Here is a 21,553-nt window from a genome sequence, read left to right as displayed (position 1 = left end):
TAAATAATGAAATGCTACCCAGCAATGAAAATGAACATGCTACAACTACATGCAACAATGTAGATGAATCTGTAAGTTTAACTCCTGGTGAGACTAATCTATGGAGTTAGAAGTTAAAATACTGTTTAACCTTGGGGGCTGTGGGTAATGACTGGAAGGGGCTTCTGTGGGGCTGAATGTTCTATTTCTTGATTTGGGTGTTTGTTAGACATGTGTGTTGGCTTTGTGGAAATTCAACAGGCTTTACACTTACGATTTCTGTACTTTTATGTCTTTATATTATACTCTAATAAAAAGCTTTAAAATTTCAGAATATTTTTGAAAACAGTTTTTTTTTTCTCCCCCACCCCCACCTTTTTGTGTATGTATGGTCACTTGATATTCTTCCACTTTTTAAAATTGTGTAATTATTAGTCTATTTCTTCTATTTTTTCAATGATTTTTTTCCTGAAGAGCAAGCCATGGCTTGCCCATAGTAAGCCCCCACCCCACCACCGCTTTTTTTTTTTTTTTTTTGAGATAGAGTCTCACTCTGTCATCCAGGCTGGAGTGCAGTGGTGCAGTCTCAGCTCACTGCAACCTCTGCTTCCCAGGCTCAAGTGATCCTCCCATCTCAGCTTCCCATGGAGCTGGGACTACAGGCATGATGCACCACCACGATTGGCTAATTTCTGTATTTTTTTGTAGAGACGGGGTTTTGCCATGTTGCCCTGGCTGGTCCCTAATTCCTGGGCTGACACAATCCACCTACCTCCACCTCCGAAAGTGCTGGGATTACAGGCATGAGCCACTGCGCCTCGCCATAGCATGTCTTTATGCAAAGCACAAGTGACCCCCTCCTCAAGGCATTTTATTTCCATATATCTGAAAATTGTTACAACGAACAGATTCTGAAATAACAAGGCATTTTACTGCCATCTACTGGTAAATTATCATAATAAATTTGCAAATTATAATGTCATGTGAATGGTGTCCACTTAAAAGTGATATCCTTCAAGACTAGTGAACAATACAGTCAGGATGGCTAGAAGTGACCCCAGGAAACTAAGGGGCAAGATGTCTGCTTTTGCCTTCTTTGTGCAGACGTGCAGAGAAGAGCATAAGAAAAATCCAGAGGTCCCTGTCAATTTTGCAGAATTTTCCAAAAAGTGCTCTGAGAGGTGGAAGACAATGTCTGGGAAAGAGAAGTCTAGGCTGGGCACGGCGGCTTACGCCTGTAATCTCAGCACTTTGGGAGGGTGAGTTGGGTGGATCACCTGAGGTAAGGAGTTTGAGACCAGCCTGGCCAACATGGTGAAACCTCGTCTCTACTAAAAATACAAAAAACTAGCCGGGCGTGTTGGTGGGCGCCTGTAATCCCAGCTACTGGGGAGGCTGAGGCAGGAGAATGGCTTGAACCCAGGAGGCAGAGGTTGCGGTGAGCTGAGATCGTGCCACTGCACTCCAGCCTGGGCAATAAGAGCAAAACTCCATCTCAGAAAAAAAAAAAGAGAGAGAGAGTCTAAATTCGATTAAATGGCAAAGGCGGATAAAGTGCACTGTGATAGAGAAATGAAGGATTATGGACCAGCTAAGGGAGGCAAGAACGATCCTAATGCCCCCAAAAGGCCACTGTCTGGATTCTTCCTGTTCTGTTCAGAATTCTGCCCCAAGATCAAATCCACAAACCCTGGCATCTCTATTGGAGACGTGGCAAAAAAGCTGGGTGAGATGTGGAATAACTTAAATGACAGTGAAAAGCAGCCTTATGTCACTAAGGTGGCAAAGCTGAAGAAGTATGAGAAGGATGTTGCTGACTATAAGTCGAAAGGAAAGTTGGACGGCACAAAAGGTCCTGCTAAAGTTGCCTGGGAAAAGATGGAAGAAGAAGATGAAGAAGATGGGGAGGAAGAGAAGGAGGATGAATAAATAAACTGTTTGCCTATAAAAAAAAAAGGTGATATCCTTCTGCAGGGCAAAATTCATCCAACTAAATGTGGTAAGTTTGTCATTTGGCACTGTTGTGACGAACCCTGCAGACAGTAAAATGTTGACACTTTCTAGATGGTTTTGTTCTTTCTTTTTTCCCCTGTTTTATTATTGTTTTTCTTAAAGACATCATTGAAGTATTCACTGTCAGTCTTATCACTGCAGAGCTTGAGCCTGTTTGGACACACATGAAAGTAGAAGTCCAATAAATACAAATCAAATTATCAAAGAACAATTGATTTGCTTTTTCTTCACTCTAGTCCAAATCTAGAACAATCCTGGATGTTTTAGGACTGTTTTTCTTGCTCAAAACATTTTATGAAATAGCCTGACCACCTCTTCAGAAGCCTCTCTCAATCTATTGCTTGTTGAGACTATCATAAGCACTAAGCTTTCTCCTAAACATTTATAGGTATAAATTCATTAATATGCTTGACAACCTTATGAAGTAGGAGCCCTTATTCTCTGCATCCCACAGGTGAGGCAACTGAAGCACAAAGAAGTTAAGTTACATTTCAAGTGAGGATATTACAAACATAGCTTCCTTGGGGAGCTTACAGTCTACTGGGGATATAGAATGAAACAAAACCCATGTAAAGATTTTTAAACAATATAAATGAGAAAATACTTTGGACCCTGTTGGACAAGTCATTTATCTCCTTTTGGTTGCAGTTTCTTCACATAGCTAATAAATGGCAGAGCTAGAATCTGAACTTGGGTGTTCAGATTCACTTTGGCTTCAGAGCCCAATATTGTAATCATTATGCTATACTATCTGCTAGTTTATGGCCTGTTTTTGTTCTTTTGCTGCCTGCCTGCAGGCAACAAGTATTTGTGTTGCCTAGGCTCCTGCTATTTTTACCTACAGGATCTGCAGGTGCCCAATGCGCCCCTGTCTTCTCAGCTCTTTGCATTCTTGCAGATCCCAGGAACACCCATGACCCTTGGCTTAAGGACATGGACAACAAGGTGAAAAAATTAGGATAGTGGCTCTGGAATCTTTTGTGCGTGTGTATGGTAAAATACATATATAACATAAAATTTGCCATTTTAACCATTTTTAAGCATATAATTCGGTGGCATTAAGTATATTCACATGCAACCATCACCACCATCTACCTCCAGAACTTTGTTTTCCCCAACTGAAACTTTGTATTCATTAAACACAAACTTCCCATTCCCTCTCCCTCTAGCCCTTGGCAACCACTCTACTTTCTGTCTTTATGAATTTGACTACTTTAGGAACCTCATATAGGAGGAATCATACAATATTTGTCTTTTTGTGACCGACTTATTTCACTTAGCATAATATCTTCAAGGTTCATCTGTGGTGTACGTCGGGTCAGAATTTCCTTCCTTCATGAAGGCTGAGCGATGCTTCATTGCATGTATAGACCACATTTTGCTTATCTATTCAACTGTCTATAGATATGTAGGTTGCTTCCACATGTTGGCTATTGTGAACAATGCTGCTGTGAACAGGGGTGCACAAATATCTCTTTGAAACTCTGCTTTCACTTCTTTATTTTTTAAATTTTATTTCGAAACAGGGTTTTGCTCCATCACCCAGGCTGGAATGCAGGAATGGAAACATGGCTCACTGCAGCCTCAACCTCCTGGGCTCAACTGATCCTCTCGCCTTAGCCTCCTGGGTAGCTGGGACCACAGGTATGTGCTGCCACACCTGGCTTGTTCATTTATTTATTTTTAAACTTTGAGACAGGGTCTCATCTGTCACCCAGGCTGGAGTACAGTGGTACTAATGTGATTTCACTTATTTTGGATGAATACCCAGAAGTGGAATTACTGGCTCATAGGGTAATCCTATGTTTAACATTTTTTTCCTTGAGACTGGGTCTTGCTATGTTGCCCAGGGTGGACTCAAACTCCTGGGTTCAAGTGATCCTCCTGCCCTAGCCTCCCAAGTAGCTGGGATTACAGGGGCGCCTATGTTTAACTTTTTGAGGAAATGCCAAACTGTTTTCCACCATGGCTGCATCAATTTATATTCCTGGCTGGGCGCAGTGGCTCACGCCTGTAATCCCAGCATTTTGGGAGGCCAAGGCAGGTGGAACACTTGAGCCCAGGAGTTTGAGACTAGCCTGGGCAACAGGGTGAAACCCTGTCTCTACAGAAAATGCAAAGATTGGCCGGGCATGGTGGCGCATGCCTGTAATCCCAGCTACTCTGGAGGCTGGGGCATGAGAATTGCTTGAACCCGGGAGGCGGAGGTTGCAGTGAGCCGAGATTGCACCACTGCACTCCAGCCTGGGTGACAGAGCGAGATCGTCTCAAAGAAAAACAAAAAACAAAAACAAAATACATTCCCACCAGCAATGCATAAAAGTGCTAATTTCTCCGCATCTTTGCCAAAACTTGTTATTTTCTGCCTTTTAAAAAAATAACAGCAGCTGGGCGCCGTGGCTCACGCCTGTAATCCTAACACATTGGGAGGCCAAGGCAGGGGGAATGACTGAGCTCAGGAGTTTGAGACCAGCCTGGACAACATGGCAAAACCCCACCTCTACTAAAAATACAAAAAATTAGCTGGCCATGGTGGTGCGCGCCTGTAATTCCGGCTACTTCAGAGGCTGAGGTACAAGAATTGCTTGAACCTGGGAGGCAGAGGTTGCAGTGAGCTGAGATCGCACCACTGCACTCCAGTCTGGGCGACAGAGTGAGATTCTGTCTCAATAAATAAATACATACATACATAAATAGGGTATGAATTGGTATCTCATTGTGGTTTTGATTTGCATTTCCTTAATGACTACAGAGATTGAACATCTTTTCATGTGCTTATTAGCCATTTGTATATCTTCTTTGAAGAAATGTCTATTCAAGTCCTTTGCCTTTTTTTTTTGAGACAGGGTCTCACTCTGTCACCCAGTCTGGAGAGCAGTGATGTGATCTTGGCTTACTGTAGCCTCCAATTCCCAGGCTGAAGTGATCCTTCCACCTCAGTCTCATGAGTAGTTGGGATTACGGGCACACACGACCATGACCAGCTAATTTTTAAATTTTTTGTAGAGATGAAGTCTTACTGTGTTGCCCAGGCTGGTCTCAAACTCCTGGACTCAAGCAATCCTCCTGCCTTGGCCTCCCAAAGTGCTGGAATTACAGGCATGAGCCATAGCACCCAGTCTTATTGCTGAGTTTCTGGAATCTTTGAGAGCTTTCTTATCTCTAGAAGTCTTTGTGGGTTTGGAAATATGTCAGTGAGGTCTTCTCAGCCTCTGGGCTGGCTGTTGTCAGGACCTCTGTGTCTGTAGGATGAAGTAGCCAGAGCTTTTCATTCAGTCTTTCAGGTTAATTAATCAAGTCATTCATTAATTGTATCTTTATCCAAAAAATCACCCTTTGGCTATGTCAGATTTCCAGGCTAACACAAGAGTACAAACTGTATGGTTCTGTTTCTATGGAGATCAAAAACTGTCAAAGTTAATCTACGGCTGGGCGTGGTGGCTCATGCCTGTAATCCCAGCACTTTGGGAAGCCAAGGCGGGCAGATCACAAGGTCAGGAGATCGAGACCACGGTGAAACCCCGTCTCTACTAAAAATACAAAAAATTAGCCTGGCGTGGTGGTGGGTGCCTGTAGTCCCAGCTACTCAGGAGGTTGAGGCAGGAGAATGGCGTGAACCCGGGAGGCAGAGCTTGCAGTGAGCCGAGATTGTGCCACTGCACTCCAGCCTGGGCGACAGAGCGCGACTCCATCTCAAAAAAAAAAAAAAAGTTAATCTATGGTGCTAGAAGTCAGAATAATGGTTACATCTGGGGGAGCAGGTATTTATTAGAAGAGAACATACAAAAGAGAACAAAAGGGAACTTTCTGGGTTGATAGATCTATAACTTGATCTAGGTGGTGGTAACACAGGAATGTAGGCAAAAAAATTATTAGATATACACTTAATAGTTTTTCATTTTATTGTATATAAATTATATTTCAGTTTTTAAAAGTTAAAATAAAAAGCTTCAGAAAAGTTTTTTTTTCCAGGATATTTTAAATTTATTTGGTGTTAATTTCATAGGCTCAAAGGTCTAAGGTGCCCCCCTGTTGCGGTTGCCTGTGGTTCTCTTTGCTCCTGTCTGCCCTCTTGGGCCCAATACCTAGTATTGTGCTTAGGATTCACAAACGCAACAAATACTTACTGAGCACCTACTCTGTGCCAGGTGCTGTGCTATATGCTGAGAAAACAATGTTAAACAAGATGGATAAGGTTTTCTTCCTTATGGTGTCCATAGTCTAGTGGCAAAGACAGGTAATAATGACTCAGTGTATTCTACTAAGGACAAGCATATCGTGCTAAGAAAACCTGTGTGGGAATGGGTCAGGGAAGGTATCCTTGGAGTAGCCCCGTTTGAACTGGGATCTGAAGACTGAGAGTTATCTAAGTGGGGAGAGCATTGCAGGCAGGGGGATCAGCATGTGCAAGGGTTCTCAGAAAGGAGGGAGAACAATGTGTAAGAAATATCACTGTAGTTGCAACCCAGAGAAAGGGGAAGAGGGCCCTAAGATAAATCTAGAGATGTGGGGAGGCCAACATTTATTTGGTCTTTATCTTTTTTTTAGAGACGGAGTCGCGCTCTGTCGCCCAGCCTGGAGTGCAGTGGCGCGATCTCGGCTCACTGCAAGCTCCGCCTCCTGGGTTCACACCATTCTCCTGCCTCAGCCTCCCGAGTAGCTGGGACTACAGGCGCCTGCCACCACGCCCGGCTAATTTTTTGTATTTTCAGTAGAGACGGGGTTTCACCGTGTTAGCCAGGATGGTCCGATCTCCTGATCTTGTGATCTGCCCGCCTCGGCCTCCCAAAGTGCTGGGATTACAGGCGTGAGCCACCGCGCCCGGCTTGGCCTTTATCTTAAGAGCAATGTAGAGCCATCAGATTTTTTTTTTTTTTTGAGACAGGGTCTCACTCTATTGCCCAGGCTGGAGTGCAATGATATGATCTTAGCTTACTGCAGCCTCAACCTCCCAGGCTCAGGCAATCCTCCCACCTCAACCTCCAAAGTGGCTGGGGCCACAGGTGTGCAGCACCATGCCTGCTATGTTTTTGTCTTTTGTTGTCTTTTTGAGACACGGTTTCCCTTTGCCACCCAGGCAGGAGGGCAGTGGTGTTATCTCGGCTCACTGAAGCCTCCACCTTCCAGCTCAAGTGATTCTTGCCTCATGCCTCAGCCTCCCGATTAGCTGGGACTACAGGTGTGCACCACCATGCCCAGCTAATTTTTGTATTTTCAGTAGAGATGGGGTTTTGCCATGTTGCCCAGACTAGTCTCGAACTTCTGAGCTGACGTGATCCACCCACCTCGACCTCCCAAAGTGCTGGAATTATAGGCATGAGCCACTGAGCCCAGCCATTTTTGTATTTTTTGTTGAGACAGCGTTTGCCATGTTGCTCAGCCCGGTCTTGAACTCCTGGGCTCAAACAATCCACCTGCCTCAGCCTCCCAAAGTGTTGGGATTACAGGTGTGAGCCACTGCACCTGGCCATCAACAGATACTTTTAAGTAGAGTAGTGACATGATCATATTTCTGATCATTAGAAACATTACTCTGACAGCAGGGTGGAGAATAGATTAGAGGGCGGTCAGGGTAATGTGAAAAGATGGTGGGTATCTACTACACCAGTCCAAGCACACTGTGTGTACTCAATAAATATTGATGGAATGAAAGGGTTCCTGACTCCCTTTCTTCTATGGGATCAGTAGGACTGATTTGTTTAATTAGTTTACAATCCACCTGCTCATCCTCTATCTCCTGGGATGCTCAGAACAGACCCCAACTCCCATTTTACAGATGAAGATGCTCAAGTTCAGAGAGGCAAGGACAGCTATCAAGAGCGAAAGCCAAAGAGAGCTGCCATACAATCCAGCAATCCCATTCTTAGGTATACACCGGAAAGAAAGGAAATCAGTGTATGGAAGAGATCTGCACTCTCATGTTTACTGCATCCCTGTTCACAACAGCCAAGATTTGGAAGCAACCTAAGTGTCCATCAACAGATGAATGGATAAATAAAATGTACATATACACAATGGAATACTATTCCGCCATTAAAAAAGAGTGAGATCGTGTCATTTGCAACAATATGGATGGAACTGGAGGTCATTATGTTATGTGAAAGAAGCCGGGCACAGAAAGACAAACTTCACATGTTCTCACTTATTTGTGGGAGCAAAAAATTAACTATTTTTTATTTTTTTTTGAGACGGAGTCTCACTCAGCCACCTAGGCTGGAGTGCAGTGGCGCGAGCTAGGCTCACCGCAACCACCATCTCCCAGGTTCAAGAGATTCTCCCGTCTCAGCCTCCTGAGTAGCTGGGATTACAGGCACCCGCCATCATGCCCACCTAGCTTTTGTATTTTAGTAGAGACAGGGTTTCACCATGTTGGCCAGGCTGGTCTTGAACTCCTGACCTCAGGTGATCCGCCCATCTTGGCCTCCCAAAGTGCTAGGATTACAGGCGTGAGCCACCATGCCGGGCCAGGAGCGAAAAATTAAAACAATTGAACTCATGGAGATAGAGAATAGAAGGAGGGTTACCAGAGGCTGGTAAGATTAATGGGGAGGTAGGTGGGAAGTGGGAATGATTAACGGGTACAAAAGAATAGTTAGAAAGAATAAGACCTAGTATTTGCTAGCACAAGAAGGTGACTACAGTAAAAAACAATTGGCCGGGCGCGGTGGCTCACGCCTATAATCCCAGCACTTTGAGGGGCAGAGGCGGGCGGATCATGAGGTCAGGAGTTCCTGACCAGCCCGGCCAATATGGTGAAACCCCATCTCTACTTAAAAAATATACAAAAATTAGCTGGGCGTGGTGGCATGCGCCTGTAGTACCAGCTACTCAGGAGGCTGAGGCAGGCGAATCCCTTGAACCAGGGAGGCGGAAGTTGCAGTGAGCTGAGATCGCGCCACTGCACTCCAGCCTGGGCGACGGAGTGAGACTCCGTCTCAAAAAAACAAAAATAAAACAAAAAACAAAAAAAAAACCACACACACACAAAATTTACTTGTACATTTTAAAATAACTAGAGTATAATTGGGTTATTTGTAACACAAAGGATAAATGCTTGAGTTGCTAGATACCCCATTTACCATGATGTGATTACACATCGCATGCCTGTATCAAAATCTCATGTACCCCATAAATATATTCACCTACTACGTACTTACGAAAATTTAAAAAATACATCAGTGTAGTGTGGGAAAAAACAGAAAATTTTTAAAAAAGAGTGAAAGCCAGATATGAATCCAGGCCTGTATGACAGACATGAAGTCCAGTGCTGAGGAGGCCTTTCTACGTTTGGGAAGAGGGGAGGGGCCACACTCGTTCGATCAATAATTCTATTTACTGAGCATTTTAGCTTGCTAGGGAGGTAATGATGGGAAAAAGAAGAGAGGGATTTAGAGGCAAATAATAATGAAAGCTTTTATCTATATCCCATTAAGCTTATTATTAGACAGTATGTGTCAGGCACGGTGACAAGTGCTTTCCAAGCCCACCTCCATTTGCTCTTCACAAGCACTATGATTTTCCCCATATTTCAGATGGGTAAACTGAGGCTTGGAGTTGCCATGTCCAAGGATACTCAGAGCGCTCGCAAAAGACTGTGCAATGTGTGCTTCCGAAGTGGGACTCACTGGCGAGAGAATAGCCCTGGAAAGCCGACAGAGACCCACGAGATCCCAGCACTAAGCACTCAGCACCGAAGGGAGCTGGCGCGCGCTCCACCTCGCGCTCCCGGGGACGTCTGGTCACGTGGGCAATGCCCCGCCCCTCGAGTCCGCCCCGCCCCCTCTCGCGCTCCCTCCCTCTCTCCCTCCCTCCCCCTCCCTCCCCGGCCCGGTCCGGCCCATCCCCCTCCCCGCCGGCTCCGTGAGGCCCTGCCGGGTCGGGCTGCGGGCGGCCGGGCGCGGGCGGCGGGACAGACGGGCGCACGCGAGGACTGACGGACGGACGCACCGAGGGCGGCGGGCACGCACGGCCCGGGCCGGCGCTCCAAGGCCCGCCCGGGAGGGCCGGGGCCGCGCTCAGGTGAGGGGACGGCGGCGCGGGCCCGTAAGGGGTGGGCCCGCCGGGCGTCCGCGGTCCTTGTCGGGCTGGCTTCGCGGGGAGGAGGCGCCGCCCGGGCCCGCGCGGAAAAATGGCGCCGGGCGACCGAGTGGCACGGTCTGAGAGCGGGCCCGGCCCGGAGCCGCCCCGCCCGCCGCGCTTGTGTCCCCGTCGCCATGTTGGGGAGCGGGCCCCAGGCCTGCGGGCGGGGGCGCTGGAGGGAGCGGCGGCCGGGCTGGGTGGGGAGGGTGCTGGGCGCGGGGGCCGGTGCACTGAGGGAGTGCAGGGCTGGCCGGGGTCTGCACGGGGTGGCGCTCCAGGCCTGGGGAACAGGCGGGAGCCGGTCGTGGGGTCGTGGTCAGGGTCGCGGAGAAGGAACACTGGGTCCGAAGGGAACCGGGATTGGGGTCTATGGGCTGAGAGGATGGCAGGACGTGGAACTGGGTTAGGCCTTAGGCGGTGTTAGAGCCCTAATGCAGGTAGGACCTGGGGATTGGGGTGGAGGCATGGGGGCCAAGCTCAGGCTGTCAGGGCTGGAGCAGTTCTTTGCTGGGAGGGAAGGAGGTGATTGATGAGGAATGAGGGCCCTTTGGGTACAGACGCTGGTTCAGATTGGGGCAGTCCTTGGGGTACTGGGGCTGAATTGCAAAGCTGTATAACTCCCAAGGCTCTGAAGACTTATGTCCCAAGCATCCTCCACCCCCTCTTGGGGGAAGCAACAGGAAAAAGGAGGTGTTTGATGAGAGAAAAGGGGGACAAAGGGAGACTGAGGTTTGGGTGCAGGAGCTGGCCAGCAAAAGAGGCACAGAGAGTGGAACTGGTTGGCAAGGAAGGAGAGAACCTTTATCAACTTAGGGAGTTGTGTGTGTCTTTAAAAGGAGGGACCTGGCTGTTTGGGGGCGGTGACCCAAGGTGTCTTCCCTGGAAGGGGACAGCCCACAGCTTAAGAGCAGAGTCACCTGGAGAGGTCATCAGAAAGGCGTTATTGAAGCCAGTAAAATGGTGAAGAAGAGTGAATGTATAAAAACTACAAAGGCCTGAGAGATCAAGTAAAGATTTCAAATCAGGTAGTGATTTTAGCTGAAACATAGAAAGGTAAAGTTGACTTTTCAAGATCTTACAAGTTAGTGGCAGAGGGGTACTAGAAATTGTCGGCTGCTTCCTCACTAAACACATTGCCTTAAAGGAATTTGCTAGCTGGGAGAAAGGTGTTAAGAAATGAAGCATAACATTCTTGTGATGAAACTAAAAGCAAACAAACAAAAACAACAAGAAATGAAGCATAACAGTATATACCAGATAACTATTAAATTTGTTTTCTTCCTGTAATGAGTGTGGCAATACAAAGGCTGAAGGGAATACAAAAAAGTATAGGCAGCCAGTTATTTGGTATTTCCTGGTTCATCTCTAATTGTGCAAAGAAGTTATCTTTGAGACCTTCTAACTTTCTAGAGTTTTAAGAGGTGCTCCGGCCAGCCACAGTGGCTCACGCCTGTAATCCCAACACTTTGGGAGGCCAAGGTGGGAGGATTTCTTGAGCCCAGGAGCTGGCAGACCCCATCTCTACAAAAGAAATAAAAAAAATTAGCCACCTGATGTGGCTTGTACTTGTAGTCCCAGCTACTCAGGAGGCTGAGGTGGGAGGATCGCTTGAGCCTGGGAGGTCAAGGCTGCAATGAGCCATGCTATGGTCATTCCATGACATTCCTGCCTGGGCGACAGAGCAAGACACTGTCTAAAGAAAAAAAAAAAAGAGAGATGCTCCTTCTCTTCTAGGTGTTTACCACAAAGGAACACAAAATCCTAAAAAAGAAAAGTGAAAAATTGTAGACACCCAGAGTCTCTATTTTATTAATTGAAGTTGGATCATGTTAGAGAAGAATTCAAAGTTCGCATGGGCTATGGGAGAGTTCTGAAGGAAATATGCAAATTAGTCATGGAAAATAGGTCCAGGGCCCCATATAATCAAAGAGAATTAGCGAACAAAAATATTATGCGGGCATATATAAAATAAAACTGTCAATACCATATGTATATACAGCAACACAATTCATTTGTTCTGGGTTTTTCTTTTCTTTTCTTTTCTTTTTTTTCTGTTTGTAGAGTTGGGGTTTCAACATGTTGCCCAGGCTGGTCTTGAAATCCTGAGCTCAAGTGATCTGCCCACCTGAGCCTCCCAAAGTGCTGGGATTACAGGCGTGAGCCACCGCGCCCAGCCTATTCTGGGTTTTTCTAATGCAGGAAGACCTGACCTTATCTGTGCCATGGACCCCTTTCAGAATAATATTTTTTAATTGTATAAAATAAAGTACATTGAATTATAAGGAACACCAATTATATTAAAATACAGTTTCCAAAATATACAAATCTAATATGCATATACTTGTTTATCAGCACGTTAAGAAATCAGATTTAGTGATGGATCCGATAATTATAATTTCAAAGACATGATGCGCATAAAGGCTACTTCAAGATTATATGCAACAATTGTAGTATGATATAAAGATATTTGAGATTTCTGTTGTTACAGAGTCACAGAACTGCTAATACTAGAATGGTATGTTACCTACACTCATATTTGAATAGAATGGTAATTTTCAGTTAAAAGTTAGTAAAAGAGATTTTTTTCTCCCTGTCCAAGTTCACAAGCCCCACTGAAGTCCTATCTATAGACTCCTGTCTATGAACCCCAGGTTAAGAAACCCTACTCCTACTGCCAGGCATGTCTTCCATTCAGCAAACGTTTACTGTGCCTCAAGGCATCTACTGCATATCAAGCATTATACTGGGCTCTGTAGCTTCAGAAGTTTTTAAGGCAGAGTCACTTCACTTTGGGTATGCAGCCCCATGAGTGAAGTAGACATGTGAACAATCATAGTTCAGGATGGTCGATGCCAAAGAAGAGTTATTAAACGCTATAAGGACACGGAGATGGGTGTGTCTGCTCAAAGAATCAGGGAAGGTGTTGCGAAGGGGTGACATTTGAGATGTGTCCTAAAAGATACAGGAATTTGCCAGTGAAATGGAGAGAAGGGCCTTTCAGGTAAAGACACGTTTTCAGGGAATGTATTAATAACTGAATGTGGCTGGAGCATAGAATGTGTGTGAAAGCATGGCCAGAGATGAGACTAGGAAGACCATGTTAGGAACCTGGTTGTGAAGGACCTTGCTAAGGAGTTTGGACTGAATCCTTAGCTGAGAGAGGCATTCAAGATCTTCGAGAAGGGGAGTATGTGGTGGAGGTTTAATTTCTAGGAGATAAATGGATGTTCTTTGGAAGGAGGGTAGACTGAAGACCAGAGAGGTAATGAGGATCTGAACTAAGGCAGAGACTGTGGGCACTGAGCAGAGTTAGAAGTAATGAGGATCTGAACTAAGGCAGAGACTGTGGGCACTGAGCAGAGTTAGAAGTAATGAGGATCTGAACTAAGGCAGAGGCTGTGGGCATTGAGTGGAGTTAGAATTTGCAGGTGTTGATTATTGACATTGTGAGTGGCTTAGGGGGAGTTTTTTAAATTTCTGGTTTGGGGTGGTGTCTGTCAAAGAGGTTTAAAAAAGTGAAAGGAAGTCTGGGCGTGTTGGCTCACGCCTGTAATCCCAGCACTTTGGGAGGCCGAGGCGGGCGGATCACGAGGTCAGGAGATCGAGACCATCCTGGCTAACATGGTGAAACCCCATCTCTACTAAAAATACAAAAAATTAGCCGGGCGTGGTGGCGGGCGCCTGTAGTCGCAGCTACTCGGGAGGCTGAGGCAGGAGAATGGTGTGAACCCGGGAGGCGGAGCTTGCAGTGAGCCGAGATCGCACCACTGCACTCCAGCCCAGGCAACAGAGCGTGACTCCGTCTCAAAAAAAAAAAAAAAAGTGAAAGGAAAATGAGGGGAGAATTCTCATTGATAATAAGGGCGAAAAGGTTTTTTTGGCAGAGTAATAGAGTTTTGGAAACCATTGCAAAGCTGTCAAGTGTGGTGTAGTTTTTGGTTAAGGAAATCAGAGGTGTCAGCAGACATAAAAGACAGGGGAAAACATGGGAAGTGTCCTACCTATAGTGTAGAAAAAGCACAACTATCTATGTCAGAGGTCGACAGACTGTGGTCCATAGGTCAAATCTGGCCCACGATCTGTTTTTGTAAATAACGTTTTATTGGAACATAGCCACACTCATTTATTTATATATTGTCCATATCTTCTTTTGTGGTACCAATAGCAGAGTTGAGTAGTCGTGACAGAGATGTGTTGTGTCAGCTCACAAAGCTGGAAATACTCTTTACAAAAACATTTGCCAACCCCTGATCTATGTGTTTGAGTGTTGGATGTTCAACCTCTAATTTGCCATCCAATGTCTATATGATGATAGAGAATGAATAAACGTCTTGGCTCTGCCCTTTGGGCTGGATTACCCATGCTCTGTGTACCTGCAGCATAACACAGACCCCTGAATATTTATATCAGTCAGTGATGGCAAGGTCTATTGTTCTGGAGTGTACTGTGTGGTAACTGTGGTAGTGCCAGCTTTACACGGATTAGATAATGCTCGGGCTTGTTTTGCCATTTTTTTTATTGGGTTGTCTTTTACAAAAGATTTATTTATATATTCTGATTATTAATCCTTTGTTGTTGGTAGATATTACAGATGTCATTTCCCAGTTTCTTGCTTATTTTAATTTTTTTTTTTTTTTTTTTGAGATGAAGTCTTGCTCTGTCGCCCAGGCTGGAGTGCAGTCGTGCCATCTCAGCTCATTGTAACCTCCGTCTCCCAGGTTCAAGTGATTCTCTTGCCTCAGCCTCCCAAGTAGCTGGGACTACAGGCATGTGCCACCACACCTGGCTGATTTTTGTGTTTTTAGTAGGGATGGGGTTTCATCATGTTGGCCAGGCTGGTCTCAAACTCCTGACCTCAAGTGATCCACCCGTCTTGGCCTCCTAAAGTGCTGGGATTACAGGTGTGAGCCACTGCGCCTGGCCTGTTGCTTATTTTAAAACATCTGTTTTAAGGTGTCATTTGTTAAAAAGTTCTGAATTTTAGTATCAACTTTATCAATCTTTTCCTTTAAGATTTGCAGTTATTCTTTGTTTTGAGGCAGGGTCTCGCTCTGTCACCGAGGCTGGAGTGCAGTGGTGCGATCTCGGCTCACTGCAGCCTCAACCTCCTGGGCTCAAGCAACCCTCCCACCTCCCATGCCAGTTGAGACCACAGGCATGCGCCACCATGCCCTGCTACTTTTTGCATTTTTTGTAGAGGCGGGGTTTCGCCATGTTGCCCAGGCTAGTCTGGAACTCCTGAGCTCAAGCAGTCCACAAAGTGCTGGGATTACAGGTGTGAGCTACTGTGCCCAGCCTGCAATTATTCTTTATATTCTGGAATACCTACTGTTGTTTTCAATGGTTAGATCTTTAATGTATCTGGAATGGATTCTTATGTGTAGTGTAAGGTCGGGTCCAGTTTCATTTTTTTTCCCTATGTATAACCAGTGATCCCAGCATCATTTATTGAATGGGGCTTGCTTTCAAATTGTGAGCTCTTTTTGGTGGAGTCTGTCTCAGGTCCTTATTAAGCACTGCTGCTTGCTGATTGTGTGACCTTGGACAAATAAAACCTCATTGCGCCTCAGTCTTTAAGGATAATAGTAATCTCATAGGGTTTTGTGAGGATTAAATGAGTCAATATACATAACGTGTAAAACAGTGCTTGGCACCTAGAACATGCTCAATAAATATTAGCTGTACTTTAGCACTACTGTTCATTTCTGATTCCTCAGCACCTGGTACAGAGCAGGGGCTCATTTTGCTCAATTAAATTGCCAAATTAATTTGGTTTTCAGGTCAATCAGAATGGTGAGAGTTGGGCTGAGTGTTGCAGGAGATGCTTCCAAGGAGCTACTTAGTTTTAGGGGCTGCCTTAGATTATCTGCTAGGATAGAACTCTTCTCACGCCATCACTTTTGCAGAGAACTTCTGTAGCAGAGGTTGCAAACTGGCAACCTGTGGTTGGATTTGACCTGTATAAGTATTTTGTTTGGTTTACACAATATTTTTAATGTCTTAAAAATGTACACAGACCTCTGAGTTTCTGACTTAACCTTGAAAAATTGGAAGATCTGTCAACAGCAAGCCCATATTCATTTATAGCGGTAACCAGCTGAAACTTTTAGGTGAGATGTGTTTCCTAGTTCTCCATAGTCTGCCTTGCTGTCTTGCTTTGCTCTTTATTTTTATGGCCCTGCAGACATTTAATTTTCTGATTCTTACTTTATTGAGGTATTGAATATTGTCTCCCCCAAACCAGTAAATGACATATTGGGATGGTGGGGGGGATGGCCAGAAATTGACAGATGAGTTTGTGGGCAAGTAAATACTAAAACCTATTTCTAAGGATGAGCCATACTTGATCATAATGAATAGAATGATAAATGAAATTAAAAGATGAGGTGAAATTCAGCTTAGCTCCTTGAATATTTAGGCATCTACTATGTATTAAGTACTGTATTAGAAATTACCACATTGGTGATAGAAAATTAGCTGGCCAGCTTTATGAAATACTGTAGAAGAACTCTTTTTACTTGTATTGTGGAGCTGTTGTCTAAGAGAGTGGTTGGACGAGAAAGGAAATATAGGTATTATTTTCTCAAACATTTGTTGAGCCCTACCATGTATTCTGGAAACTGGCTAGAACTCTGCAAGATACCAAGATGAATCTAGCCAAGGTTTCTATGCTGAGGAATGTCTGTAATGTGTTATGGAGCTGGGATACTAGAGAATGGTACCTGAAAGAGGTGGTCTGTGAACGAAGCTGCCAAGAATAGTTAGTATCTTAATACTTGGAGATGAGACAGTGCTGTATTTTCCAGGCTGAGTGAAAGCATAAACACAGAGGTGGGTATTTAGGAGATGGTAAAGAGTCCACTTTGCTTGGAGAAGAGGATTGTTATAAGGGTGTTGTTGGAATTAAGGGTGGAAATGGAGATGAACAATAGTAACAATAATAGATAAAACCTAAAATAAATAAAACTTAAAAAAATTAATAGTAGTAGTGGCTTTTCTTTCCCCCCAGTGTTCTTTGGGTAGGGTTTTTTTGTTTTGTTTTGTTTTGTTTTTAAATAGAACCAGGGTCTTACTCTGTTGCCCAGGCTGGAGTGCAGTGGCGTGATTATAACTCATTGCAGTCTTTAATTCCTGGGCTCAAGTGATCTCCTGCCTTGGTCTCCCAAATTGCTAGGATTATAGGCACAAGCCATATGCCTGGCCAATGGCTCACATTTTTTGCATGCTTACTATTTGCAAGATAATGTGCTAAGTATTTCATAAGTAGCATTTTATTTAATCCTTACAACAACCTGATGAGGTAGGCACTGGTTTTTAATCCCTTTTTACATATAAAATGAAGAAGAGAGCTAACAATTGATACAGAAAGTATTTGAGTCCAGGTAGTCTAATTTCAAAGCCTGCCTTCCTAATCTCTGCATACCATATAATCAAATCATGGAAGGCTTTGAATACCCATTTCTATTCCAAGCTGGGAAGTTTGAACTTGATTGACTAGGTAGTGGGAAGTCATCAAATGTTTTTCGCCAGTGATGTGATGAAAGCTGTACGTTAGGAAAGGAAGCCTGATTGTGAAGTGTAGGATCAGCATGGGGAGAAAGGAGAGATATGGAGCTAGTTTACTCTCTTACTTCTCACTAGATTGGGTGAGTGCTCCTTTAGGACTGGGCTGGTGTCTGTCTCTGCCTTCCCCCTTCCCTCCCTTCAGCTCCAGTGTCTGCCTATTTTGATGTCTGGTATATTCATTTATTTTTTTAAATGTGATCTTTTTCTACCTCACCTTATTCTAAAAAGGACATAAAGTAGCTGCCTAGGAGCTCAATAAACATTCTGAGTTAATTAGTAAATAACTAGAGTTACATTTAGATGTATACACAAATGAAATACTATGGCTTTGATGGAAGGAGGAATGCAGCCCTAGAGTTGGTCATATGCTTTATTTGATATACAATCTCTATAAAGCAGAAGGCCAGGACCATACCTTTACTTTGTGATGAATTGTGTATTCTATGTCAGTTATAATATTCATTATCAGTTAATAAATTAACTATATCAGTTAATATTAATGAGCACCAAATTCAGAGGGCATTCATACTTTAAACAGATATTTCAGTTTGTATTTAGCATTAACCAGCTGCAACCCCTCCCCCTCCGTCACACACACAAAGGCAACAAAAGTTCCCATTAATCAGCTCCTTTACTGATATTGAATCTGTTGAATATCAGTTCCGTAGTACCCATTTATATACATTTTCTTTTGCTTTTGCTTTTGCTTTTTTGTGTGTGTGTGTGATGGAGTCTCACTCTGTTGCCCAGGCTGGAGTGCAGTGGTGAGATCTTGGCTCATTGCAACCTCCGCCTCCTGGGTTCAAGTGATTCTCCTGTCTCAACCTCCTGAGTAGCTGGGACTACAGGCAACTGCCACCACGCCCAGCTAATTTTTTTGTAGTTTTAGTAGAGATGGGGTTTGACCATATTGGTCAGGCTGGTCTCGAACTCCTGACCTTAGGTGATCCACCTGCCTCGGCCTCCCAAAGTGCTGGGATTACAGGTGTGAGCCACTGCACCCAGCTGCTCTTTTTTGTTTGTTTGTTTGTTTGTTTGTTTTTGGAGACAGCATCTCACTCCCTTGCCCAGGCTGGAGTGCAGTGGTGCAAACTTGGCTCACTGCAACCTCTGCCTCCCAGGTTCAAGTGATTCTCCTGCCTCAGCCTCCCAAATAGCTGGCTCATACCTGTAATCCCAACACTTTAGGAGGCCAAGGTGGGTGGATCACTTGAGTTCAGGAGTTTGAGACCAGCCTGGCCAACATGGTAAAACCCCATCTCTACTAAAAGTACAAAAATTAGCCAGGCGTGCTGGCATGTGCATCTAATCGCACCTACTTGAGAGGCTGAGCCTTCCATCAATTCTTGGTGCTCCTTGGCTTGTAGCTGCATCACTCCATCTTTGCCTCTGTTGTCACATGGCGTTTTCCCTGTATGTCTCTGTGTCCAAATTTCCCTTATAAGGTCACTAGTAGGTCCCACCCTACTCCAGTAGGAGTAACTTCATCTTAATTGATTACCTCTGCAGCGACTCTGTTTCCAAATCAGGTCACATTCTGAGGTACTGAGAGTTAAGACTAACATATTTGGCAGGGATGGGATTGGGGGGCACAAGTCAACACATAACAGGTAGTGTTTGAGATAACATAGAGGCATTAAATTAAAATTTATTAAAATGGAAGGGTAAGATTGCAACAAATGGGATTAAGGAGAGAGTAACCAAAGGAATGATGGACATAGGAAAATGTAAGGAATATTTAGGTAATGAAATAGTGAGAAGTCTGATTTGCTGGTTTGTTGAGGAGTTGTGGAGAAGTGAAGCCGACGTACTTTCTTGGGGCCCTGGATGCCAGGTCTAAGACATTTGAATGTTGCTGAGTGACCAGTGTGTGGGAGCAGGATGGCACTGCGGAATTTTGAAATGGTAGATAATTGATTCAAGCTTTGAGTAACTGAGTCAAGTTTTAGAGACATTCTAATATGATCAGGTGATCATGGATAAGTAAACACCCTGTAGAAAAACAGATGGTCAATGACAACACACCCAGCCTCCCTCATTTTCCTATGCCAGTAACTTTTGCCAGCACAATAAAGAAATCTCTCTTCTGTAAAACAACAAACTTTGAGGGTTTTGTTAGCCCTCTCTTCTTGGTGAGTCATCTGTGGGCATTGAGAGATACATCAGCTTTTCAGGGTCTCCATTCAAAAGCCTCCCCATGGATATTTCAGTGTTAATAGTCATGTCACACTTCATTTGATTTCAAACCATTCTTCAAAATTACCTCTTTTCCATCCTATTCTTTACCTCTTGGTTTTTCTTTGAAACTTCTTCAGTTTTTCCATAATTTAAAAAAATATTGGAAAGAATTGAGGAAAACTGAGTATTGTTTTAAAATAACAAATAGAATTGAGGAAGACTGGGTACTGTCCAGGCTAATGATATGCTCTTTTTCTGTGTCTTTTTATTTTTAAATTATTATTTAAAAAAAAAATAGAGTCTCGCTTTGTCACCCAGGCTGGAGTGCAGTGGTGTGATCATGGCTCACTGCTGCCTCAACCTCCCAGGCTCAAGCGATCCTCTTACCTCAGTCTCCTGAGTGAACACGTGGGACTACAGGTGTTCACCACCTCACCTGGCTTTTTTTTTTTTTGGGGTAGAGAATGGGTCTTCCTATGTTGCCCAGGCCAGTCTCAACCTCCTGGGTTTAAGCGATACTCTTGCCTCCCAAAATGCTGGGATTACAGGCGTGTGCCACTGTGCTCAGCCTGTGTCTTTTTAATGGTAGCAATGTTGGCCTTGCCCAGGATAGTACTGTATTTAAATTGTGAATACTCATTTGAATTGTGGTCAGTAATAGCCCTCAGGTGCTTTCTTTATTTGTGCCCAGGCAGTTCTTCCTGATTTTATATTTGCATTGTTTATACTTTTTCTAATAGCACGTGTCCCCATGAAATTTTAAAAATTATGTTTAAGGCTGTACACTGTGGCTCACACCTGTAATTCCAGCACTTTGCAAGGCCAAGGCGGGTGGATCACCTGAGGTTAGGAGTTCGTGACCAGCCTGGCCAACATGGTGAAACCCCGTCTCTCCTAAAAATACAAAAATTAGCCTGGCGTGGTGGCGTGCGCCTGTAATCCCAGCTACTTGGGAGGCTCAGGCAGGAAAATTGCTTGAACCTGGGAGGCAGAGGTTGCGGTGAGCCAAGATCATGCCGTAGCACTCCAGCCTGGGTGACAAGAGTGAGACTCCGTCTCAAAAAACAAAAAAAAATTATGTTTAAATACCGCAAGTACATAACTTCTGAGTCATTTTCATATTCATACAGTCTTTACAAATTTAATTCATATAAAGGTTTTTTTAGTCTTTTTTCATTTGGCAATATATTGACGTACTTTTCTACACATCTGTATATTTATCATTTTTAATGGATATATGACAACCAAAGTCTAAAATACTCTGGTTATTTGGCATTTGGGTGATTTTCAGTTCGTTTTTATTTATATTTTACAATTTTTTTTTTCCCCAAGATGGAGTCTTACTCTGTCACCCAGGCTGGAGTGTAGTGGCGTGATCTCAGCTCACTGCAACCTCCACCTCCCAGGTTCAAGCAGTTCTCCTACCTCAGCCTCCTGAGTAGCTAGGATTACAGGCATGCGCCACCATGCCTGGCTAATTTTTGTATTTTCACGGGATTTTGTATTTCATGGGATTTCACCGTGTTGACCAGGCTGGTCTCGAACTCCTGACCTCGTGATCTGCCCGCCTCAGCCTCCCAAAGTGCTGGGATTACAGGAGTGAGCCACCATGCCCAGCCCTATTTTACAATTCTAAATTGTAGCGCTGTTACATCTTTTTATAAATCTTTTTTCTTCCAGTTTTTTTCTTAGAATATATTCCCTAAAATGATTTCATTAGGTCTGAGGCTATCACTTT

General features: G+C 44.3%; 1 protein-coding gene and 1 pseudogene across 37 annotated transcripts in view, besides 2 other annotated features; both read left to right on the top strand.

Moving 5' to 3' along the window:
- Window positions 1–1,020: 1,020 nt before the first annotated feature.
- Window positions 1,021–1,908, top strand: HMGB3P1 (high mobility group box 3 pseudogene 1; annotated as a pseudogene). Its single transcript, NR_002165.1, has one exon. The product of NR_002165.1 is annotated as a high mobility group box 3 pseudogene 1 (transcript).
- Window positions 9,726–9,915: a silencer, noted in NCBI's record as "silent region_12848". NCBI's record gives its function as "represses an Ori minimal core promoter by ATAC-STARR-seq in GM12878 lymphoblastoid cells {active_cell/tissue: GM12878}" and the evidence as "EXISTENCE:reporter gene assay evidence [ECO:0000049][PMID:35858748]".
- Window positions 9,832–21,553, top strand: part of NCOA6 (nuclear receptor coactivator 6) — a 110,878-nt gene continuing 99,156 nt past the window's right edge. For 34 of the 36 annotated variants that reach the window (XM_047440068.1, XM_047440055.1, NM_001438234.1 and 31 more), the window contains exon 1: window positions 9,832–10,011. The gene's annotated coding sequence lies outside the window, so the exon portion shown is untranslated. Of the gene's footprint in view, window positions 10,012–13,843; window positions 16,182–21,553 lie in introns of those variants that run through there. The other 2 variants (XM_047440047.1, NM_001318240.1) reach the window with 1 other exon arrangement.
- Window positions 9,926–10,365: a silencer, noted in NCBI's record as "silent region_12847". NCBI's record gives its function as "represses an Ori minimal core promoter by ATAC-STARR-seq in GM12878 lymphoblastoid cells {active_cell/tissue: GM12878}" and the evidence as "EXISTENCE:reporter gene assay evidence [ECO:0000049][PMID:35858748]".

This window comes from Homo sapiens, chromosome 20 (assembly GCF_000001405.40).
Source record: "Homo sapiens chromosome 20, GRCh38.p14 Primary Assembly".
NCBI lineage: Eukaryota > Metazoa > Chordata > Mammalia > Primates > Hominidae > Homo > Homo sapiens.
This window is presented reverse-complemented; position numbering and strand designations above follow the sequence as displayed.